The 26192-nt window shown below is 36.4% G+C and overlaps 1 long non-coding RNA gene across 1 annotated transcript in view, besides 1 other annotated feature; it reads left to right on the top strand.

The window, feature by feature from the left end:
• Positions 2121 to 2645: an enhancer, noted in NCBI's record as "OCT4-NANOG-H3K27ac-H3K4me1 hESC enhancer chr18:37504594-37505118 (GRCh37/hg19 assembly coordinates)". NCBI's record gives its function as "activates a minimal SCP1, AML or CMV promoter by ChIP-STARR-seq in naive and primed H9 embryonic stem cells {active_cell/tissue: H9 hESC(naive and primed)}" and the evidence as "EXISTENCE:reporter gene assay evidence [ECO:0000049][PMID:30033119]".
• LINC01901 (long intergenic non-protein coding RNA 1901) overlaps positions 2408 to 26192 on the top strand; it is an 84572-nt gene continuing 60787 nt past the window's right edge. The window contains exons 1-2 of the long non-coding RNA NR_187474.1: positions 2408 to 2621; positions 5446 to 5476. This is a non-coding gene — a long non-coding RNA (long intergenic non-protein coding RNA 1901). The remainder of the gene's footprint in view (positions 2622 to 5445; positions 5477 to 26192) is intronic.

The raw sequence follows: 26192 nt of genomic DNA, 5'->3' as shown, positions 1-26192 counted from the left end.
GTTCTATAAATTTCCCTCTATACACTGCTTTGAATGCATCCCAGAGATTCCGGTATGTTGTGTCTTTGTTCTCGTTGGTTTCAAAGAATATCGTTATTTCTGCTTTCATTTCATTATGTACCCAGTAGTCATTCAGAAGCAGGTTGTTCAGTTTCCATGTAGTTGAGCAGTTTTGAGTGAGATTCTTAATCCTAAGTTCTAGTTTGATTGCACTGTGGTCTGAGAGATAGTTTGTTATAATTTCTGTTCTTTTACATTTGCTGAGGAGAGCTTTACTTCCAACTATGTGGTCAATTTTGGAATCGGTGTGGTGTGGTGCTGAAAAAAATGTATATTCTGTTGATTTGGGGTGGAGAGTTCTGTAGATGTCTATTAGGTCCGCTTGGTGCAGAGCTGAGTTCAATTCCTGGGTATTCTTGTTGACTTTCTGTCTCGTTGATCTGTCTAATGTTGACAGTGGGGTGTTAAAGTCTCCCATTATTAATGTGTGGGAGTCTAAGTCTCTTTGTAGGTCACTCAGGACTTGCTTTATGAATCTGGGTGCTCCTGTATTGGGTGCATATACATTTAGGATAGTTAGCTCTTCTTGTTGAATTGATCCCTTTACCATTATGTAATGGCCTTCTTTGTCTCTTTTGATCTTTGTTGGTTTAAAGTCTGTTTTTTTAGAGACTAGGATTGCAACCCCTGCCTTTTTTTGTTTTCCATTTGCTTGGTAGATCTTCCTCCATCCTTTTATTTTGAGCCTATGTGTGTCTGCACATGAGATGGGTTTCCTGAATACAGCACACTGATGGGTCTTGACTCTTTATCCAATTTGCCATCCTGTGTCTTTTAATTGGAGTATTTAGTCCATTTATATTTAAAGTTAATATTGTTATGTGTGAATTTGATCCTGTCATTATGATGTCAGCTGGTTATTTTGCTCGTTAGTTGATGCAGTTTCTTCCTAGTCTCGATGGTCTTTACATTTTGGCATGATTTTGCAGCGGCTGGTACCGGTTGTTCCTTTCCATGTTTAGTGCTTCCTTCAGGAGCTCTTTTAGGGCAGGCCTGGTGGTGACAAAATCTCTCAGCATTTGCTTGTCTGTAAAGTATTTTATTTCTCCTTCGCTTATGAAGCTTAGTTTGGCTGGATATGAAATTCTGGGTTGAAAATTCTTTTCTTTAAGAATGTTGAATATTGGCCCCCACTCTCTTCTAGCTTGTAGGGTTTCTGCCGAGAGATCCGCTGTTAGTCTGATGGGCTTCCCTTTGAGGGTAACCTGACCTTTCTCTCTGGCTGCCCTTAACATTTTTTCCTTCATTTCAACTTTGGTGAATCTGACAATTATGTGTCTTGGAGTTGCTCTTCTCGAGGAGTATCTTTGTGGCGTTCTCTGTATTTCCTGAATCTGAACGTTGGCCTGCCTTGCTAGATTGGGGAAGTTCTCCTGGATAATATCCTGCAGAGTGTTTTCCAACTTGGTTCCATTCTCCCCATCACTTTCAGGTACACCAATCAGACGTAGATTTGGTCTTTTCACATAGTCCCATATTGCTTGGAGGCTTTGCTCATTTCTTTTTATTCTTTTTTCTCTAAACTTCCCTTCTCGCTTCATTTCATTCATTTCATCTTCCATGGCTGATACCCTTTCTTCCAGTTGATTGCATCGGCTCCTGAGGCTTCTGCATTCTTCATGTAGTTCTTGAGCCTTGGTTTTCAGCTCCATCAGCTCCTTTAAGCACTACTCTGTATTGGTTATTCTAGTTATACATTCTTCTAAATGTTTTTCAAAGTTTTCAACTTCTTTGCCTTTGGTTTGAATGTCCTCCCATAGCTCAGAGTAATTTGATCATCTGAAGCCTTCTTCTCTCAGCTCGTCAAAGTCATTCTCCATCCAGCTTTGTTCCATTGCTGGTGAGGAACTGTGTTCCTTTGGAGGAGGAGAGGTGCTCTGCTTTTTAGAGTTTCCAGTTTTTCTGTTCTGTTTTTTCCCCATCTTTGTGGTTTTATCTACTTTTGGTCTTTGATGATGGTGATGTACAGATGGGTTTTTGGTGTGGATGTCCTTTCTGTTTGTTAGTTTTCCTTCTAACACACAGGACCCTCAGCTGCAGGTCTGTTGGAATACCCTGCCATGTGAGGTGTCGGTGTGCCCCTGCTGGGGTGCCTCCCAGTTAGGCTGCTCGGGGGTCAGGGGTCAGGGACCCACTTGAGGAGGCAGTCTGCCCGTTCTCAGATCTCCAGCTGCGTGCTGGGAGAACCACCGCTCTCTTCAAAGCTGTCAGACAGAGACATTTAAGTCTGCAGAGGTTACTGCTGTCTTTTTTGTTTGTTTGTCTTTTTTGTTTGTCTGTGCCCTGCCCCCAGAGGTGGAGCCTACAGAGGCAGGCAGGCCTCCTTGAGCTGTGGTGGGCTCCACCCAGTTCCAGCTTCCTGGCTGCTTTGTTTACCTAATCAAGCCTGGGCAATGGCGGGCGCCCCTCCCCCAGCCTTGCTGCCGCCTTGCAGTTTGATCTCAGACTGCTGTGCTAGCAATCAGCGAGACTCCGTGGGTGTAGGACCCTCTGAGCCAGGTGTGGGATATAATCTCGTGGTGCGCCGTTTTTTAAGCCCGTCGGAAAAGCGCAGTATTCAGGTAGGAGTGACCCGATTTTCCAGGTGCCGTCCGTCACCCCTTTCTTTGACTCGGAAAGGGAACTCCCTGACCCCTTGCGCTTCCCAAGTGAGGCAATGCCTCACCCTGCTTCGGCTCGCACACGGTGCGCGCACCCACTGACCTGCGCCTACTGTCTGGCGCTCCCTAGTGAGATGCACCCGGTACCTCAGATGGAAATGCAGAAATCACCCATCTTCTGCGTCGCTCACGCTGGGAGCTGTAGACTGGAGCTGTTCCTATTCGGCCATCTTGGCTCGTCCCTCACAAATTTGATTTTTAATTATGAGTAGTTGTAGAATGTTTTCCAAAAATATTTTCTTGTTTGATTGCAGTATAGAATACTACTTCTTTAATTTCTTAATTTCTTTAATTTCTTAGTTTGCTTTGGTAAGTTATATTTTTCCAGCTATCTGTCTATTTCATCTATTTTCATATAAATAGGAATATAATTATTTAATGTAGTCCCTTATTAATGTCTGGAAAATCTATTGTAATGTCCTTTTACATTCCCATCATGCTTATCTATGCCACAAATCTCTCCTCTCCCTTTTTGTTTTGTCCTGCAATAATCCTGGTTGAAATGTATCAACTGTATCAGATTTTTAAAAAAATTACTTCTAGCATTATTAAGTGCATGTATTGTATGTATATTTATTATATAAAATATATATTTTTTAATTTTGAAATTGACTACCACTATTTTATAATTCACCTCTTTCACATAATCTCTGGGCTTATTTTTGGTACTGTTTTTCAAGATTCTTAGAACCTATAAAGCTCATTAATTTTTAGTTTTTCTTTTTCTCAAATATACATACATATATATCCTTCTCAGACAGACAGATAAATAGAGATATATATTCTTTTCAAGGCTATAAAAATGTCCACCTTAGTGCTACATTGGCTGTGACTCACAATTTTTTCTATTTCTATTATCATTTAGCTTAAAGAGTTTTCTAACTTTTATTTTCATTTCTCTAACTCAGGACTTGTTGAGAAATATTTCTTAACTTCCAAATATATGTGCATATCTGACATCTATCTATCAATCTATCTGTTATCTATCTAGCTATCATCTATCTTATTTACATAGTAGTCAGGAAGTGTATTCTATATGATATAAATCCCTTGAAATTTGTTAAGGCATGTTTTACAACAAAATATCCTATCAATTTTTGTAAATGAAGTCTGCTTTGCATCAGCTAGAGTCATTCCATATATGTCCATTGAATAATTCTATTTCCTTATCAATTTTTGACTTGCTATATCAATTGCTAGGATATATATTTCACAATGTTTGTAAATTTTCTATTTTGTTCAATGGATACCTTTTTTCTATATATTTGAGGTTATATTTTAATAGCATACATATTAAAATTTATATTTTCTTGATAATTTGAAACTTTTATCATTATAAAATAATTATCTCTATTACCAGTGTGTTTATCTCTATAAAATCTATTTTGTGTGACACGTAGTGTCTAAAACATAACCTTTTTTATTTTATGCTGTATATATAGCTCTTGTAAGTAGCATTTGTTTTCTTATTCTGATCTGAACATGATTGTGGTTGCCTTTTGCCTGAATAATTGAGCTTTTATATTTAATGCAGTGTAGGCTTACAGCTATTATGTTGTTTTGTAATCTTTATGTATTTTACCTGTATTTATGCACTCCTTTTTTATAGCTAAGTCTGAAAAAAATAACACATATACTTAACTAGCAAAAGTATAAAATTAATTAAAGTTTTTAATTTTCTTCCTGGATTACTGTTAACCCTTTATAACTACATGAGATCTATGTCTCTTTATTGTCTGGCACTATAATTCTATTTGAAAACTTAACTATGCTTTATTACTATTGTTTTATGTAGCCAGTATCTATTTAAATTGTCCACCTGTGTATTACTTTCAATACTTTTTGCATCACAGATAAAATATCAGAGAAATTTTATTATCATTCATATTCTCTCTGTCTGTAATTCATATTTTAATAGTCCTTAAAGAAGGATTTCTATGGATTAATTCTCTCAACTTTTGTTTTAAAATGCCATGATGTTTGCTTCACTTTTTCCAGATTTACAGATATTTTCATATGTAGAGAATAAATGCACAATTGATTCTCTTTGGTTCTTTGAGATATCCTTCCACTTTTTTCTCCACATTCATTGTTGCATTTTTGAAGACAGTTGTTCATCTACCTGTCATTCTTTAAAGGAAACCTGTGTTTCATTTGCTGACAGACTTTGGTTTTGCTCTGGTTTTCATTTTCAAAAAATTTTTTCTCCATTCATTGTTGCATTTTTGAAGACAGTTGCTCATCTACCTGTCACTCTTTAAAGGAAATCTGTGTTTCATTTGCTGATGGACTTTGGTTTTGCTCTGATTTTCATTTTCAAAAAATTATCTGTGATGTCTTAGTATGAATTTCTATATAATTATCTTGCTTTGGGCCGAATCTGTAGAATGGTTTATTATCAAGTCTGAAGAATTCGCAGTCATGATCTTTAAGCATGTTACCTCTATCAAGTCCTTTCTCCACTATTTTACTTGGATTCATTCTACTCTCTAAAGCTATATTCTCTCTCTTATATGTTATGTTTGGTTTTTCCATGTGCTTATTACGAATAATATCTTCTTAGCTATCTTCTATAGGTATTTTAACTCTAACTTCAGCTATGTCAATTTTACTGTTAAACATTTCACCAAGGTTTTAATTTGCTTTATTGTATTTTATATATATATATATTGCTCTATTTTGTTCTCTTCAAATCTGTATTCAGATACTTTCATTTGTTCTGCAGGTATCACCAGCTGTTTATTTCTTCAGACATAGTAAGTGTGGTCATTTTGTAATTCATTTCGGACATTTTCATTATTTAAAGTATGAGTTGGTCTTTTTCTGTTATTTGTATTTTTCACTCCTTGTTCAGTTTGCTCTTCTTTTGGGGGTGATATTTATTTTTAACTAAATGCTGGACACCCTTTTCAAAGAGTTTTGGTGTCATTCACAATGTTGGTTTTCAGTCTGTTTTGCTATTTTTCAATGGTTTATTTGAAATAAATTAATTACCAGTAAGGATACTCCTATGCATGTTCTCTTCTTTTAAAATTTAGTCAATACACTTCAGCCAATAAGAAAAAATAATTTATGCAAAAGGAAATATTATATTTTATAGTATCATTTCTCTAATTTCCTTTTATTATGTTTCCTTAAGCTTAATAAAACTGGTTATGATAAAAACTACACTGAACAGTGTCACTATTTACTTAAAAGGAATTTATCTAAAGCTAGCTATAGATAGCTTTAGATAAGTATGGGCAAAAACGTATCAACACTAATTTGTATTTCACCTATATTTTTGACAAAAATTTAAAACAAATATCTAATATTGATGAAAAAACATAATATGAAACATGTAGTAGTTTAATTGAGATTTATAAAGCATTCTTAATGATATACAGAGGTACTCATGATATAACATTTGGTATAATAATGAAGCACATAAAATTATTTAAATAGTATCATCTAAGTAATGCATAACAATACATAGAAGTTGTCTTTAGTAACAGAGAAAAAAAGAGAGAGAATGTTGTTTTCTGTTTAAATTGGGAAATTTTCAAAATTTATATTTAAACTGTATATTACTTAAGACCAAAAAGGAATACCTGGTAAACAAAATAAAAGCAAATGAAAGTAATTGTATGCTTACTTACGATGGCTTTGCATAGCAAGGGCAGCATTTTCTTCTTTACTTTTGTGTCTAATAATTCTAATCTGAAGATTATTGCTTTACAGGAATGGCAATAATACAAAAAAGAAAGAAAAGCAGTAATAACAGCAACAATTCAAAAAAAATACAGTTATGAAGTTCTATCTTCTCTTTGTCATTGATCAACCTTCTGTCATTTGCCTTTAGCCATAGCTTATTCTCCCCCTCAGTCTTCTTTCTAAACTTAGTTTCAAATACTCCTTCTATCCTGCCTATCTTGGGAGCCGATCACACTGTGCTGCAGCTTCCCCACCATGACCTTTGCATGTGTAGGCAACTTGTTGTTATTAATCTTGGTTGAGTGTCCTTCCTTGTTATTAATCTTGGTTGAGTGTCCATCCTCTCATCATCTTTGCAAATACTTTTAGGAATCAGAGCCTAGAGAAAGTTACCTGGGCCACAAAGCTGGCTCTTATCAAGTGCCATTTAATTTCTTTATTTTAATTGCTAGCAGAGATCTCGTTAGAAAGTGACTTTTTTAGTTTACCATCCTTTACCTATTTATAGGATACCTGTCCATGGATTATCAATAATCTTTACTCCAAGCTTATTAAGTTTGGTGTCTCCCTAAAATAAAGTTCTGACTGAACCCCGACTTCCTTTTTTTTCCTGTTATTGAATCCATGGTGGCACTCTGTATAACCAAACACCGCATGTTCTCATTCATAGGTGGGAATTGAACAGTGAGAACACTTGGACACAGAGTGGGGAACGTCACACACCAGGGCCTGTCATGGGGTTGGGGTGAGGGGGGAGAAATAGCATTAGGAGAAATACCTAATGTAACCAACGAGTGAATGGGTGCAGCACACCAACATGGCACATGTACACATATGTAACAAACCTGCAACATTGTACACATGTACCTTAGAACTTAAAGTATAATAATAATAATAATTAATAATAAGATTCTTATTATTTCTACACAGACAACAGTTTTTCCCCATTGGTGCACATTAGATACAAAATAGAACGCTTCTGGTTGCTTTTGCCATTTACTGTTCATTAAAGTAGCCAATAAGGCAAGACAGAATGAGCCCTTGTTCATTATCAGGATACAGAAACAAGGCTGTCATTCTGAAAGGGCCAGGACTATGTGTCCAAGATGGACAAAATATATCCCTATCTTTTTTGTGGTTATCTGAGATCCCAATGTTATCATTGTTTTTTCACCTTCATAAATGAAGGTGGCTTTCTCAAACTTCCCCTCTTCCCTTTACTTCCTATAGTTTTTCACTATTAAATATAAATTCATGGGCTTTTGTGTAGGTCAGTATAATTTAGAAATTATTTCTTTACATCCTGAACACCCCAGAAATAGGAATATTTTCATCCTTCAAGGGTGTTTTAAATACAACTATTTACCTGTATATATGTGCAGCCAGCCAGGATTATGTGCAAATATTGCCATTCACATGGTCTTTGCTCATTAATTTAATTGGCCTATAGTTATCTAGTCTCCCACAGGGAAACAAAATAGCATGAAACCCTTCACTATTTGTATTTTAAGAGGAAGGAAAAATGCTTTATTTGGAATATTGCAACTTTTATTTGATGAAAGTTACTATTAACATATTTTCATAATCTTCTCAGCCTAGCAACAGCAAGAGTAAAAGGTGTGAGGGCCATGTAATATTCATGAAATTAAGACGACTTGAGATGAAAGGGAGTTCCATTAGAGAGACCAAGTGTGACAATATGACACATATTTGCATATTTTACACTTTAAATCTTTTCAGCACATCCAAGTTGATATATGGATGTAAACATGCATTGCCAGTTTTTAGCATATTATAAGCCCTCAAGTCTTTGCATGCATTTTAATATGTTTCATTATTGCTGTAGATTTTAATTTCCAAACTGCACGGCTTTGATGGAAGAAAGCTGGAAGTCAAGGCATCTGGCCTCTGCCCCAGGCAACCACAGTCTTTTTCTTGAATATTTTGGGCAGAAAACCAGTCTATTTATTTGTGGGGCAGTGGGGGGGAAAATTTAAAAAAAAAAAGTGCTGCCCAGAAGCGCGTTTTGTTTGGTACACATACTAATTAAGTGTTAACTTAACCATCCTGGCAGGAAGCTAAAGCATTCAACTGTAGGTGTGCCGAAGAAGGCAAATTGTGTGGAGCTTTTATAATCCCTTTTTCCCTCCTTTAAGCCAGTCTCAGCTCCTATACTTTGAATGTAGAGATTATTGAAAACAGGTTAAAAAAAAATAGAGTTTCAAACTGTGTTTGTTCTTTAAAACAAGGGAAAAGATTTTCAGCTGCCCATTTTGTTTTCTGGAACAGAGTCTCTTGTTAGTAGAGGAAAGATCTTCCCATAGGTTAACAAGGACATCTTTGGCCCAAAGAACATGGCATCCAGATAAATTTCTCAGAGGTGTTTTGGCTTTTATATTTTACAAGGCTATATATTTAAATGGCTAAAGCATTTAGCATAAACTAAAGTGCAATCTTAGCTCGCAACGATCTTAAAAGAAAAGTTAACATAAGTTAAAATAATAAAAACAAAACATATAAAATTTGGCTTTTAGTCCATTATCTTAACCTTTAAGGAAAATAGATGACCTTTAAAGATAGTTTCTAATGATCACATTAAAATTTATTTTTATTGTTATAGAAGCATGAAGCTTTATCTATTAGCTTCTCCCAAGAGTTCAATAGCATTTTATTTTAATTTCCAGTTATATGTTAAACCATTAAATTCAGGAAATATTCTAGTTACCCATCTTCCCATAAATGATAGAAAGTATGGAGCAGTCATCTACTATTCAGGAACATATTTGGATAACTCACATATACAAAAATGCTGCAAGAAACATAATAATAATGGAAAAGAAATCAAAAGCGGCATTACTACTCGAAAGGAGTTTGTAAATAAATGAGGGAAAGATAATTCTTAGATTTTTAATACACATTTACCATCCTAAGAACATATTCATTGATTTGCAAATGAAACAAACAAAAAACAGAGGACTATTTTTTTTCCTGGTCATTATTTCTTTTCTAAAACTTTATATATAATTACAAAATAACTAAAATAATATTTCCATGAACTACCTTGGCCTAAGTTACAGTAGTTCAGCCAGAAGCGGTTGAAGCTCTCATCGCATTTTCAAGCTAACGTACAATCATATATTGCTGCAGCAAATAGCCAGTTTACCAAAAAATATCCCCGGTACTCAGGACACTAGAAGGTAGATATGGTCGCTTCCATCATTCTCTCCTTAGTGAATAACATGTTGTTGCCTTATGGAGCATAGGTCTGACAATACTGTCTTAGACAATGGAGGTTTCTAGCTGCTGTTTGGTTTCTCTTAGTTGTACCATTTTTCAGCTCCCCAATGTTGAGCTTTTTTATGGGTAGAACCATAGGTCCATGGCCCTACCTTTTGAGTCAACTTTGATAGAGATGGGAGGAAGTTTATCAGTTAGGAATTATGAGGTTAGCAATTCCTACTTAACATATCATGTCCTTTGTTATTGTACTGCCAAATATTCAGAATGTCTAATGACATAGAATGTGCTTTAAATTCTGTGAGGGCGTTCTACTGAACTATATTATAGCCCTCCATCATGTCATATTTAATCTTTACATTTTTCTCTTCTATTGTATCCTGTTTAGTAAAAACTAAGCTCCATCTTATCCTGTGGCCGTAGAGCTCAATCAACCTGGATGGCATACTATTTCCCTATCTAGACCCTGCTAGATTAATTTCCAAAGTGCTGAAGTCCTCTTCTCTAGCTTTTGCCATTGGCCGGGAATCTGCTGTGAATGAATTGCTCTTCCACAACAAGATGGCATTGTGCCTAATTACAATAAATATTGGTTTCAAGGGTTCTGCTCTGTACAACCATTGGGCTTTCTATCCTGATATGCACTGACCTGTGGCCAAGCTAGGTACATCTTTCAGAACCTTTGACTTGGAAAAAATCATCTTTGTTAGAGCCAGTATCTTCTGTCAACTCCATTTCCCTCACGCGTTCAGGTCCTAGCCTTCTCTTCCTCACCAGCAAACCTCCAGTTTTACAATGCCTTGTCCCAGAGCATAGTTGCATTAATTCATCTGTATGCTGCCCCATATGTGGCTCTACTTTGAGGTCTAAACAGAGTCTGCATGTGAGAATGCCGTTATCAATGCTATTGTTTGCTGTGCAAATCACAGTTGTCATAAATGAAAACATAACATTTGTTGATTTATCATTTTTGAATATTTGATCAAATGAGTCAACTCACTAATTTACAAAATATCAAGTTTTTCTAAATGTTTCATGGTTTTTCAAGTGAATTAAACAGTGTCACAAGGGGTGAAATCCTCCTCACCTTTTATGTTCCACGGTTCTTTTGTGGTATAACATCTTGCATGTATGATTATTTATTTCTGCTTTGACTCTTACATGACATTTAATCAAAAACCACAATCAGAAAACTAATTTAACAAGGATACATAACTCATGCTGAACCTTTCTACCTTAGAATAGAAACTGTGAACACAAAGTAATAAAATAAGCACAATATGTCATGAAAATAATAGAAACTTTCATTGAATGTTTACTAGGAGGCAAGCACTTTATCTAAATGACATTATTTCGTCCTCATGACAGCCTTATGAGGTAAGTTATTTTATCCCCATTTTCACAGAAGAAAACTGAGGTTTAAGTAGGTTAAATATCTTTATTAGTATTATACAGCTGGGGCATAGAAGCACATTGCTTTAGACTTAGCCATCAGACTAAAGAGCCTGCCAGCTTATGTTTTCTGGCATCCTACCTGCTGATCACAGTTTTAAAAAATCATCTGCCAATTCAAGGATTGTACAAAGAGGGTCTCTTGCTGCTTTAGTTTCTCAATAAGGGAGAGAGTAATATTTTAGCTTCTTTCACACAAACCTTTCTCTGACAGGTTCCAGATACTGGGTCAAATATTTTATATATCCTATGTTTATTGCCACTTCAAATATAAATTTCTTCCCTGTCTTCAAGGCCTTCTACTTTCTTATAACTGTGACTCCCCACATGTAGGTAAGTGTCCCCATTTCCTAGTGTATCCACCATCTACCTACTGCTACTATCAAGTAGATAGTCTCTCCATTGTTATACTGATAACTTTTTTTCCTCATATCATTTCCCAGAATGAAAGGCTCTCTGTGGATATCTCAAATCCCAGTCAATCTCAATTCTTTCCTGCTGTTTTATAGATCAGAGTTACCCTTCTCTTACAAAACTTTATTTTTGTTTTGCCCAGTTTCACATTTATTCACTTAACTGTTAGTTACCCATTTATTTAATGCTGAGTACCGATCTACGCTCAGATAACACAATAAAGAATGTCAAACTGAGCCCTGCCCCTATCGAAGTATAAAGAATAGAAAGAATAACCAATTATCATAAACTGGTGATTTTTTTATGTGTTTAAACAAAATATAGTAGAAATACAAAAGAATTGATGCAAAGCTTTCCAAAGACGGGGAAAACAAATGAACCATAGTGAAAGCAGGGGGTGTCGGGAAGGTAAGGGAGAAGCAGAAAGGAAGTCAGTGGCTCAGGTTGCACATTTTTTTAGAGAGTGGCTGGAGAAAAATGCTGGTATTCAAGACGGATAGAGCAGCAAGTGACTTAAAACCATGACGAAGAGCTCAGGCTCTTATCTTAAGAGTAAGAATGAACCATTGAATTATTTTAAACAAGATGGTTTAAACAGGCATAGGGAAAAGAGGTATAAAAGTGTGGATGTATGTATAAAGTTAAAGATATTGTCATTCTTGGTATTTAGAAAGATCACTCTGGCTCATTATGGAGAATAGATTAGCAAAGGGTGTGGGTGGAAATCAGGGAAACAGTTAGGAAACTGTTGCTGTAGTCCAGGTAAGACTGGATAGTGGCTCAATAGGATGATGGCAATAGGGACCAGAGATAAATGGACATATTCTAAAGATACTTGGGTGTAGAAGTCATATGACCTGGCAGTTGATCAGACATGGGAGGTCAGAAAAAGTCAGTTCTCTGACTGTGGGACCTAGGAGAATGGATGCAGGAGGAGAATACAAGTAAGGGAATAATAAATACAAACAGTGCTTAAATATCTACAATTTTATATTATTCCTTATCATCAAGTGCACAATTAAACCCTATCTCATAAGTCCAGGAACTGCCTAATTTTATTTCTTCTGCATTCTTTTAACAGCTAAGCATTGAGCTAAAAACTCAATGGATTCACACATGTTTTTCAATAGTTTGAATGATTAGTGTTGAGAGGTAGGACATTTAGGTTTGACTCAGAGATATCACTATGGAGTGTATTTTCCCCAATTATAAAATAACAATTGAATATAACATGTGTATAGATAGCTTTACCTTCATGCACCTGGTCTCAAAATAAAATTTCTAAAATCTGCTTTATAGAAAAATATGCGATCACAAAGTGAAGGTGGATGGGGAAAAATCAGTTGTCAGAAGCTGGGAGATGAGGGTATATTCAAAATATTCCTGTGGAATTGGGGGAGATAGAAAAACATAACAAAGCTGGCCAAGCTTCTTTCTGTAGAAATTCAGTCAGGCATCACAGCTCTTTTCCCCTGGGTTTGTGCTTTTCCTCTCTTCATGACTATCTATCACTGCTTGTAAAACTCCTCCACTAAAAGATCTTAAAGTTCACAGTAAAGCAATGCAATTATTCTGAGTCATTCCTTCTTACCTTTTAACCTAATCTTCAGAGGTGCCGGTACTGAAGAAGTACGGCTCCTGCCCAAAATGAGCCTAATCTTGTCTCTGAAAATAGCACTTCCTTGCCAAGAAGAACTTTCTCCTTTTGAATTGCTGCAATGATGAGAAAAAGAAGCCAGGATTCATTAATGGCCCCGGGCATGGTGGGTGCTAAGTCAGAGCGCCCTTCCTCTCTACAGAGAATAGCACTGTCTACTTACTGAAGGTTTTTCTTTTTTTTTTTTTTTCTTTTTATCCTTACAATGACTGTTGGCAGAAAGCTTTGAAACAGCTCATTACTGACTTCTAATTCAATAAGCTAAAAGGGTGAGGTGCAGGGCAATGCAGATTCAGATTTAACTATAATTTTTTGGAATGCCTACTATGTGGCAGGCTCTGCATTAGGCATTGCCATGACAACACCAAAATTGGGAGATATGAACCTGGTTAAGTAAATAAAAGAGGACAGCTCAGATACTGTCAGAAAGTCATCAGAGATAAAAAAAATCTGAATTCAGATCTTCAGATTCCAAATTCAGTGATCTCTTCACCTCTCACATCTGAGTTTGCCAGATTCTATTTGGCTCTTAACAAATGAGCTTACCCCCTACATTTCAACGAAGCCATTAGAAAGAAATGACATTTTCCCCTCTATTTTTCAATTTCCACTCAGCCCCATGCATTCATCTAGTCACTGCTCAGGTGAAAATGGAAGGTATTTTGGTCCTCTTTCTATTATTTTAGCCTCATTGGTCCCCTTGGGCTGTGCATCCATTGTCTTTTGCCTTCTTAGCTAAAATCACTCTCTGTGCCATCTGTCTAGCCTGCAACCCCTGATTCTCTACAAGACCTACTGTCTTAGTTTATTTGTATGGCTATAAGAAAATACTATCCATAGGTGGCTATTATTTCTCATAGTTCTGGAGCTTGGGAGGTCCAAAATCAAGGCATCAGTAATGTTGGTGTCTGGTATAGGCTCATTTTCTAGTTCACAGTTGGTGACTTCTCACTGTGTCCTCACATGATGGAAGGAGCAAGACAGTTCTCTTGAACCTCTTTTATAAGGGCATTAATCCCATTCATGAGAACTCAGCCCTCATGATCTTATTACCTTTCAAAGGTTACCACCTCTTAATAGGATCACATTGGTGAATAAGTTTCAACATATGCCATATTTTGAGGGAACAGCACCTTCAGACCATAATAGTCCACTGCTGTCCTCCCAAAATGTAGTCATTCTCGTAAGCAAAATGCACTCATTCTCTCCTGATAGCCCCAAAGTTTTAACTCATTTCAGCATCAACTTTAAAGTTTAAGTCCAGAGTCTTCCCTAAGTATAATCAAAATCAGATACGGATGATATTGAAAGAATTAATTTATATGAAGGCAAATTACTCTCCAACTGCGAGCCAGTAAAATTAAACATGTTATGAGCTTCAAAAGTACAAGGATGGGACAGGCATAGAATATACATTCCCATTCCAAAAGGGAGCAAGAGGAAACATAAAAAGAGTAACAGGTCTAGAGTAAGTTCAAAACCTTATGGCTTGAGAATAATCCTCGACTTGAGGTTCTGCCCCCCGAGCCCACTGAGGCAGAAGCCAAGCCTCTTCTGCAGCTTTTCTAGATAGGGGATGGCCACCCTAGACTCCAGATGACCCTGGCCCTACAGTTTTGGTGGACACAGCCCACACCACATTGGTTGTAGTTGGGTGCTTGCAGTTTGCACAAACTGAAATTGAAAGCTGGTGGTGGCTGTAGCAAACTAAGATTGGAAAGTAAGAGGAAAAGGCCCCACCACCATGGCTCCATTAGGCATTGCTCTAACGGGGGCTTCCTCCATTGGGCATGCCTTTGTAACAATTCTGTGTCTGGGTCTCATACACAGGATCTGGATGGCTCCATCCTTCAGATTCTATCTTGGTGGAGACAGCCATGCCCCAAAGACTTGTGCATACTGCAAGCCAGCAGAAATGGCACCACATGGATGCTGCCATGGTTTCTTACCTGTGTCCTATAGAAGGGTCACCATCACAACATATGCTTCACCTGGGCCTGCTGGAGTAAAACCTAGGGCAGCTAAGGAGCATTGCACTGGAATGCAGGGAACAGAGCCTTGAGGTGTGACTGGGTGAAGAGCACTGATGTCATGCAGGTGCCTCCATTTAAAATTGTTTTGCCCCAAGGCCTTTTCAGTCTGGGCCTGTGATGGCAAGAGCATCACTGATGACCTCAGAAATGCCTTCTAGGTTATTCTTCTGTTGGTCTTGATGAATAACATGTGGCTAATCTCTATGAATTTCCTTATTCAATTGTCTCTTGGCCACACCCTTGGTGCACTCTCCCAAACAAGCATTCTCACTTTTTACAATAGGAACAGGCTGAGATATTTCTACATCTTTAAGGTCTACTTCCCTTCTGATAAAAAAAAAAAAAAAAAAATTCCATTTTAAAATTGTTTCCAGCTTCTTGCATCTTACTACAAACATTCAAAAGAAGGCATGCTGCACCTTCACCACTTTGCTTAGAAATGTCTTCAGACAAATATCTATTTTATTGCTCATAATTTCTATCTTCCACAGAATATTAGGACATAAACAGAATTCAGCCAAGTTACTTGCCACTTTATAACATTGACCAGCTTTCCTCTACTTTTCATTAACATGTTTCTCATTTCATCTGAGACCTCATTAGAATGACTTTCACTACCCTTATCGCTGCAAACATTGTTTATGACCAATAAATATTCTCTAAGAAAATAGAGGCATTCTCTACAGTTCTTTCCTTCTTCTGAGCCCTCACATATTCATCTTTTATGGTCAATTCATGAAAATGTAGAATTTTTCTAGCAACTCTTCCAACATCTATTACACAGTTCCAAAACCACTTCTACATTTTAGGTATTTGTATAGCAGCACTCCAATCTTTGATATCATTTTTTTCTTAATGTGTTTGAGCTGCCATAACAAAATATCATAAACTGGGGAGCCTATAAGCAACAGAAATGTATTTGTCACAGGTCTCATAGCTAGGAAGTCCAAGATCAAGGTGCTGGCAGATTTGGGGTCTTTTAAGGGCCAACTTTTGATTTGTAGGATGGTATCTTCTTACTGTGTCCTCACATGATAGAAAGAGCAAGGCAACTCTCTGGGTCCTCTTTTATAAGGCATTGTTCCCATTCATGTGGGCTTTGCATGATGATCTAGTCACCTACCAATGGCCTCACCTTTTAATATTATCTCATTGGTAATTAAGTTTCAACATATAACTTTTAGGAGGAGACAAACGTTCGAACCTTAGCACCTACCAGTTAGCATTAAAACTTGCTCAAATCTAGAGCTTCTCACTTTACTCCATAACTCTTCATAGGCAAAAACCTATCATCTCACTAGATTAGGATATTTAAATAAATTATTATAAGTCAAGTGTTTGGCACATAGTAAATGCACAGTAAAGTTGACCTGTTCCTCTCAATCAATGTTGAAATACATTGCATCTCAGTCCTTATCTACATTGGATCTGTTTTCATGGTTTGGCATTGCAAAGCCTACTTTTATATTACTTTCTTCTGTTGATTCTCATGCTACCACACTGGGTTGTTTTTTTCTTTCTCTAGCAGCTTCTTTTTAGATTCCATTTATTAAATGTTAGGTATCTTTGGTGTGCTGACTTGTACCCTCTTCTTGACTCCCTCTATGCTCTCTTCCTTGTTCCTCTCATCTATTCCTATGAGTAACAATTTGATAATAACTCCAATTTTATATTCTTTAATCCAGAATATGCATATCAAAATTAATACTCTGAATATCTATTTGGACAACTCAAAACCACTTCAAACTCAGCACTCCCTTTTAGAAAATTAATCAACATGAAAGGAGAATAATTCACTATTTCAGAAGATAGTGACTTTTGCTATATACTAGATTACTGGCAATAGGAAAGGGGACAAATAGGTAGATTCTTAATATGGAAATGGCAGGTAGAAATGTCATGATTTGATGGCTGATTGTTTGTGGAAATGAAGAAAAGCATGTAAAGGCAGTAAAGTAGTTATCCTGGCTTAAAATTCGAAGAAGGAGAAAAAGTAAACATGAGAATAGATTAAGCTAGAGAGGTAGTCAGATTGTGAGAAGCCTGCACTTGGGCTTTTTCCTAGCCACAACGAGGAGCTGTTGGAGAGTTTTAGACAAGAGAAAAATGTAATCGAATATGTCTTACAGGGAGCTTACTCTGACTGCCTTGTGGGACTTACCATGCAGCTGAGTAAACAAGAGATGCATATGAAAAAATAACTAGAATCACTAATGGTTAAGTTGTGCCAACATGATTAACGCAAGTAATAAATGTGGCTGAAGTTAAGAGGAGGGACATTCTTTTAGACTGCTAAGGAAGGACTCACAGAAAAACTAAACATTGAAAATTTAAGTTAAGATATGGATGATGCATTAGCTCTAAGTAGAAAAAAAAGTAGAATGTTCTAGGCAGACAGAATTGATGTGGATATGAGTTACATACAGTAGTTAAAATCCACCAGGATTTTTTTTTTTTTTTAGGGAAACGTGAACTGCTCAACCTGCCTGGTACAGGGGATTCACATGGAGGAGCAGCTTGAGAAAGGGAAGAGACAAAAGCACTTGTGAGTGGCACTGAACTCAAAAATGCACACATCCTTTCCTAGGCAATTGGAAGCCATTTCAGAGTCCTGGAAACTTAGATAAACAATCTGTGCTTTAGGATAGTAAGCACGTTGGAAGGAAAGCCTGTAGCTTAGACTAGAGGGATTCAACACAGAAAAATAAGTATTGAGGGGCTTTATGAAGTCTGAGGTCATGAGGCAGTAAGCTAAGATAGCTTCAAAGGAAGTGGAATGAAACTGTTAGATATGACAATATCAAGAAAGAAGAAATACCAGGATTTTCAGAATACAAAACAATTAAATATATTGCTCTAGTTATCTAATATCCCTTCAAGGTGTAAGCAGGAAATACATTTGGCTCTAGTAAAATATAGCTCAGTGTCTCTTTTAATGGGGAGGGCTTACATACTGCAATGGGAAACAAGGTTGTTCTTATTTGCAATTTTTCTTCTAAGCTTACACCACAGCTTTTATCTTAGTACTGTAATGCATGACAATTTAGGAGTAATTGTTTGAAGATGATTACAAAGTCAGCAATGAATCCATAATTCCTGTCTAATATCTATTGAGAGGCTTCTAGTATAGGAAATGCTACCAGAGAGTACAATGAACACGGGAGAAACATTGCTATTTTGATGACAGGCATGTCAAAGGTAGGTAAAAGAAGTTGTGGAGACTTAGGAAACAAAATCTTCAAGTATGGTATATAAGCAGGATTTAATATCTTCCACTAAGCAAGCCAAATTAATCTCAGGACACCAGAATACTTGACTGGGTAAATGAACTTCAAGGACAATCGTGAGCTGCTTGCCAGCTGATGCTAACTGGGATTTTGAGTAGTTCAAAATAAATAGAAGAGGGTGTTGAATCACAGAATGAGGAAGAAAAACTCAGATCTCAGATATTTCTCATTGAAGAAAGAATCCAAAAAATAGTGCAGGCACAGGAACCAACCAAAAGAAGAGTAATAACAACTAGGGCAAACCCAGAAGAAGTTTGGGTACCTGAACTTACAGTTTAAGGCATTAGCCCAATAATTGCAAAGATAAAGAAGAATGGGCTATTTCTTAGGCTTTCTTTTACAAATGTTCCAAATTCTTTATACGTGTGTGTTATTAATGGTGATAATCATAGGTACTGTAGGTTTGAATGTAGCATTATTACAAAAGTCTAGTAAGAATCAACTGATAGTCAAAGTTTTAGAAAATTGTAAGCTATCCAGGGAATGTACTACTTTCCTCTGCACTATGCGCCTTTCAATGTGACAGTATGGCAAAAGAGTGATACAGGACTCCAGGTTAGTAAAATATTTTCTTGCTCCTTTATCATAATTTAAACCCTTACAACAATACAACTCCCACAGGTGCAGACAGAACCATTGGAAATACCATCAGTAAAGAGCTATCCCTTTAAAGAAAACAATGCTATCTTTCTGGAACCTGCTTAAAATGAAAACAGTCCTAACAGAGCAATAGTGGGAATTCCTAAACACTTTGGGAAGTGAAATAGCCTTTTCCTGCACTTTAAAGAATGCCTAAGGAAGCATAGGAACCCCAAGATTTCAGAGAAATAGTTAAATTAGGCAAAATAGCATAGAAAGAGGAAATGTTAGGACCCTGGAAATAAACTCCCCACTTTCACCCAGAACTCGTTTCAATGGTCTTCCTCTCAAAAATGTTTGACGAAGAAGGCCCATGTATGTTCATTTTATGACTGTCATTTTCTAAGCCTTCAGAGGGGAGTCTAAAAGTTAAATTAGAGTCAGGGAAGTACTTACATTGTTTTTCTTAAGGTTGTTAGTGTGTGATTCAGTGACACGTGGGGACACTCACTTTCCACACCACCCATAAAAACTTTGTTTGCAATTAGATGCTTTGACCCTTAGAGAAAGACAGTTATTCTCCCCCTGTGAAAAGAGAGGAACCAGATACTTATTTATAAAAGAACATTTCCTTAATACCCTAACATGAACCTGGAAAGTGACTTTCCCAAGAATATGACTCTTCTCCAAAACTAGAAGTAATTTATAGCTCTACACATCATCCGCCAACTTGCAACCATCACTTCTCTCAAGGTGCCGAAACAGTTTAGCCATCACATCTGTCTAAGGGGCAAAAACAGTTTTTGGTGGTGCTCTCTCTCTACACAGTTGTTAAGTAAATTCCAGATCAAATCAATCCTTCATGTGCAAAGCCAGGTGTGCTGAAAGGAATTCAAGGATACGAAAGCCAGGAAGTCTTGAAGCCCCCGCTAAAATCATGAAAACCAACATCAGTGTAGTATAGTGTGACGGTGAGGGAAAAGAATAGGAAATGAGAGAAGGCTGAAAGGCCATCTTGGAATGCTTGCTCTCCCACAGATTACCCAAATGAATCTGGGCAGATTATTCGAAATTTATCTGTGCATATGGGGAGTTTGCAAAATGGGAGTATGGAAGGATTGTTACTGGATAATCTCTTCTAGCTCTAACAGTTTATGATCTTACTGTGTCCTTTTCAGGCTTTTTGAGATAATCCCATTGCTGTTTAGTCCTATAGGAGGTTTGGGAAATTAATCAGTATCCTCTTCATTCTGAAAGCATTTGAGCAAAGCTCAAAGAAAGGAAGTGGGCAGTTCCAATCAGCTTGTTTACACCTATAACAGAGCTACCTACATGCTTATAGTCACAAATATTAAGTCTGCTACAGGTATGCATAGATGCATATAAAAAATAAAATACTGCATTAGGGCTTTGAGATGAATGATATTCATTTTCATCTGTGCTGGCAAAACTGTTTTTTCTCTGTTCGTTAATATTATATTTCATTTCTTCTTTTTCTTTTCTTTCTTAGTATTAATATTTATTCATACTAGTTCTTCTAATGTAGTACCTATATTTTCGTATATTATTTCATTTAATCTTCATAAGGACCTCATAAGGGAAAACATGTAAGATTTTTTTTCTATATTTAACAAAAAAAAAATAGAAATCCAGTTAGGATATGTGATTTAACTATTCGCATGCAACTAACAGGAGAAAGAACTGGAATTTGGACCTAGCCTCTTCCGATTTACTATTCCTTGTTTACTGATTGATCATATTGCAAAAACTAAAACAGAAAATTTAAACAATTATGTATTTAAAGTACATCTCTTTTATTTCCATAAACTTACAAAATCACTTTGATATTATGGAGGAAAAAAATTATTTCTTCTCATTCAAGTTTAAAATAAAGAAGACTTCATATGGCAAGAAAAGCCAGGACACTGATTTGACATGTAGATACATTAAACATTTTGCTAGTTAGAGTCCAGTGAAGTGGTTGATTCTGGAGACAACAAATGTATCATGAGGATCTACAGAACTCTGCTTTACGGAGCATTCTGGGCTCATCTCTAGAGCTTGTATCATGGACTAGACATCTTTATTTTAAAAAGGAAAATGTACTTCATCTTTATATTTTAAACAATTTTTCATCTCTTTCTTTAAAAGTCTTCTTCTCTAACACATATGTATTTGTTAGGGTTCTCCAGAGAAACAGTATCAATGGGAGATAGATAGACAAATAGATAGAAATGTATTATAAGTAATTGGCCCATACGATTATGGAGTCTGACAAGTTCCAAGATCTGTAGGGTGAGATGGCAAACTGGAGACCCAGGAGAGCTCATGGTGTCGTTTCAGTCTGAGTCTGAAGGCCTGAGAATGAAGGAAAGCAGCTAGTGTGAAGACCAGCAGGCCCAAGACCAAGGAAAACCAATGTTTCTGTTTGTATGTGAAGACACACAAAAAAAGCCAATGTCCCAGGTCAAGGGAGCCAGACGGGGAGAATTTTCTCATACTTAGGGGAGGGTATAGAACTTTTTTTCCGTTTGAGTCTTCAATGGATTAGATGAAGCTTATTGCCATTAAGGAGGAAAACCTGCTTTACTCAGTCTATTGATTTAAATATTAATCTTATCCAAAAGCATCTTCACAGAAACATCCAGAATAATGTTGGATCAAATACTTGGGCACCCAGTGAAGCTGATGCGTAAAATTAACCATCACAACACATTTATGAAGGCATCAGGAGGAAAATCGGTGGATGTTGAACTCATTCTGCTTAATCAATGGAGAACACCCTGGAAATTCCAGAGAAAAAGGATAAGCCTTCACACAGCTATATATCTATGTTTCTTCTCATAGTCTGTATTATAAGCTGAAATTTTTAGAAGTTCACTTGTTCGTTAGAACAGAAAGAAAAAAACATGGTAACAGTGACTTAAAATAACTTTTGCCTACAGTAGCTTCAAAGGATCTTTTTCAAAAGCATATTTTAAAAGTCCTGGGAAAAAATGTTAGTCTTTCTAGTTCTTATACACAAAAAAAGTAAAAATTTGGAGGGGGAGCTTTACAGAATATTTTTCTACTCTTATTAAAGTAGAAGAGTTTATAATCTTCTGGGACTCTTAGATTGGACTCAAAGGGTCTGTGAATTCCCTAAAATATATAATCAGGAATTCTTATATGAGGGGGTTTTTTTAGGAGATAGTTTATTACTTTCATCAGATTTTTAGTTTTTGGCCCCCTTAAAAACAATATTTAAAATCTGACATCCAATGATGAGGAACAGAGATTAAGAAATCTGAGCAGGGTATAACAACATCATAGGATAACTCACATATGGAACAAAGTGAAGAGATTTTCTAAAACAGGCTTGACTTTTGAGGTGATCTGAATCCCTGCTTATACCTGCTAGCAGGGTTTAAGAGGCAAAATAAAAGGGAGCCTCTAGCTATTTGTGGCCTTAGGAGAGAATCCATACTCTAATTCTTGAAACTGCTTCTTGCCCATGCTACTCCTTTTTTTTTTTTTTTTTTTTTTTTTTTTTTTTTTTTTGAGAGGGGTCTTGCTCTGTTGCCTAGGCTGGAGTGCAGTGGCAAGATCTCGGCTCACTGCAACCTCTGCCCCCTAGGTTCAAGCAATTCTGCTGCCTCAGCCTCCTGCGTAGCTGAGTATTGAGCGTGTTCTTGGGAGAACTGGTTGTTGTAAAGTGTGGCACTGCCCCCATTCCAACTCTCTCTTTTGCTCCTGCTCCCACCATGTGAGATGCCTGCTCCCCATTTGCCTTCTGCCATGATTGTAAGCTTTTTGAGGCCTCCCCATACGCAAAAGCCTATGCTATGCTTTCTGTACAGCCTGCAGAACTGCAGAACCATAAGCCAATTAAGCCTCTTTTTTTAAATAAATTACCCAGCCTCATGTATTTCTTTATAGCAAAGCATGAATGGCCTAGTACATATGCCTTGCCAAAACAATCACGTAAATCAAAGAAAGAAAATATGGCATTATAGAAATGTAGATTCTGACCCAAAGAGAAGCAAAGGGAGTTTTCTGGATGACAATAAAGAAAAATCTCAAAAGACAGCTGGGCAGCAGTTCTAGAGTTCACTCAACCCAGATTAAAACAAGCTAGAAGACACCTGGAAATACTGCTTCAAGATGACACAGAGAAAATACTTAAAGTATTTTAATGCATTGAAATAAATTTCAACAAAAAAGCGTAAAATAAATTAGTAAGAACTAATAGAAAACTAACAAACAGAAAAGAAACTTGAAAATTACTAACCAGAGAAAACAAAAAAATTTTTAATGTGTGTAGATCTAACCTAAATTATGATATAACCATTTCTGAACAATGGGGAGATACAAAGAGTGTATATATTTAAGGATGTGGTAGGCTAAGAAAGACTGCTAAATTCTCCTCTTTCTAAACAATTATAAAGTAAGGATTTCAGTATGCCATTTAGAGATGTATAGAAAAGTAGCAAATAAATCCATTAAAAGAGGCAAAGGGAGTTTTCTCTGGGTAACAAGCAAGGTGGGGATAGAGGTGAGGTCAGGAAACTGATTTTTACAATGAATTTGATTCAACTCTTCATGTTTATCATAATTAAAAAACAAAAACTAGAAGCATGCATAGCTTTGATAAAATAAAAACTAAAAAATACAGTGCCTATACATTGTAATTTCTCAATATTATTTCTATCAGTAGGAATAATTAAAGAACTGTAAAGATTTGTTCTCTTAAGCACCTTAAACTTTCTTTTTTTCAGTAGTATTTACATTATCCATTTTCCCAGTAAACACTTTTGTTCTATGATTAAGAAGTATATTTCAACATAGCATTGTCAGGGTTATCACAAAATCCCAGTCAGTCTGAGATTGAATTAATATGTTTCACAATACTTTACTTTTTGTATAGTTAAAAATATTATTTTTTTGTACAGAGACATAAGAAATGTGTGTACGTAAATACTGAGAAAACACAAAGTGTAACCATAATGTGAGACTCATCTTTCAATAATCTAACCAGATAATAGTTTTTAAGAATAACAATATTTTAGTGCATTCAATGTGAAATAGTATATTTATCTCATTTAATCCTGACCACATTCTATTTTAACTGCTACTATTTTAATTTTAGCACAGAAAATGTTAATATTATTAAGTAGCATTTATTGAATGTAAATGTGCAGGAGTCTGTATTAACATTTCCTTTAAATTACCTTATTTAAACCATTTTACAAATGAGTAAACTTAGATTCAAGAAGGCTAACTAATTTGTCCATGTTCACAGCTAATATAGGATGTAACTAATTTCAAAAATATTTTTTGACCCTAAATCCTGTGTTCTTAATTTCTGTATATATTGCCTGTGCCATAATTACTTATTCAATCCTACATTCTGGAGAACAAAATGAATGTTCGGTAGACTGTATTCTCCCAAACAAAAGTATGGCAATGGTTGCAAGAACATACACAGTGATCCCAGTAGGAGAGTGGGGAAACGTAATTATAAGAACTTTATCAAATTCCTTATCATTTGTAACTTCTCCAGCCTTCCCATCTTGGGTAGATCTTGCCTATTTTTTTGTAATGATTGTTGTAAGAACTAGAGTGGAAAATAATTATTGAGGAGATGGAATCAAAGTACACAGACAATTTTGTTTCATCCAAAGGAATGTCGAACTAAAGAAAGTGATGAAACTAAGATATGATATATAACAGATAGATTGAAAGGACTGACAAATCCTAATTTGTTATATCTGGTTCTGATTCTCCCTTAACTTCCAGATGCATTAGGATGGCCAATAACCAAACATGGCTGACATCAAGTAACTACTCTGTGTGTTTGGTTGTGTAGTGCCTTTTCTAGAATAAAAGTTCTTTGATTGGCATGAAAATATTTTAGAAAGATATTTGCACATTGAGACCTTCTTACATTGAGACCTTCAACTAGCCATTTGTCACCTGCCCACATCCAAAAGTCTATTCTTACCTCAGGCCACCTGTCTCTCCATATATGGTGAATGGTCAGGTGCAACACACAAACCTCTGCCTATTGGAAGGAATTCCTCTCACCACTGTCTGTTATGGCAACCACTGAGAAAGGATATATTGCTGTTATGGTCCATTTTTTATTTGTATCCACCTACTGAGCCCATTAACCTATAAAACAAACTTCACCTTTTTTCTCCCCTGTGAATTGGTCATATCAAGTCAGGCAGTCCCATCACAGGTGTGGTCTGTGGAAGAGGCATTGGTGCAAGGTGCAACTGTGGTGGATGCTGTGGAAGTCTGGGACACCTGCTAATGCAGCTTACTTGTGACTCCCAGTCTTGCTTATGCCTCACTCTGGAGGTACTACTTGTATTTTAAAACGGATTGTTGATAATGCCCAATCTTATTACTTGGTGGATCTACAGAGCCCTAATCAATGGGCATTTCTTGTCCTATAATCACATTATGATACTTGGTCAAATAATTTATTTCTTGCCTAATATTTCCTGAAAATCGTATAATTCCCTGTTGCAAATGGCATATACTTGGTGTAGAAACTTAATGGCCTACAATGTGATTATCCTACTAGTGCTTTCTCTGTACTCTGAATATCACCAAAAGAATACCTTTGATTCTATAGTCGAGAAGTGCTGCAGAGCCCCTTTTACTTCCAGACTCCACCAAAGCTGGTGGCCTTTAAACCTAAAGGACACTACAGATGTAGAAGTTCTCTCAATCTTATGAAGGCCTTCTTACAAGCTGTAAGGTATACGATATTTTATCCTATTTGCAAGCTAAAATTATTAGCCTGTAACAGTTTTGTGAATGCTGAATGAATAAAGACAAAAAACTGCTCTATCAGAGATGAAGAATTGTTTTACTCACAACACAGCCTGCAGCATGAGCATCATGCTTGCATCAGTTCTCCTTGACCACCAAGGCTGATTAGAGTGATGGAGAAGGACTAGGAACAAGCTGTACACATAATGGGATTGCATTACAGCCAAGCAACCCTGAGCTTAAGAAACCCAAATCTTTAAAAATGAGTAGTAAATCTGCCTGATCTATATCCCAAGGGAAGACCTGGACATTATCACCATGGACAGAAAAATAACAAAAAAAACCTACCATCTGC

This window comes from Homo sapiens, chromosome 18 (assembly GCF_000001405.40).
Source record: "Homo sapiens chromosome 18, GRCh38.p14 Primary Assembly".
Classification (NCBI taxonomy): Eukaryota; Metazoa; Chordata; class Mammalia; order Primates; family Hominidae; genus Homo; species Homo sapiens.
This window is presented reverse-complemented; position numbering and strand designations above follow the sequence as displayed.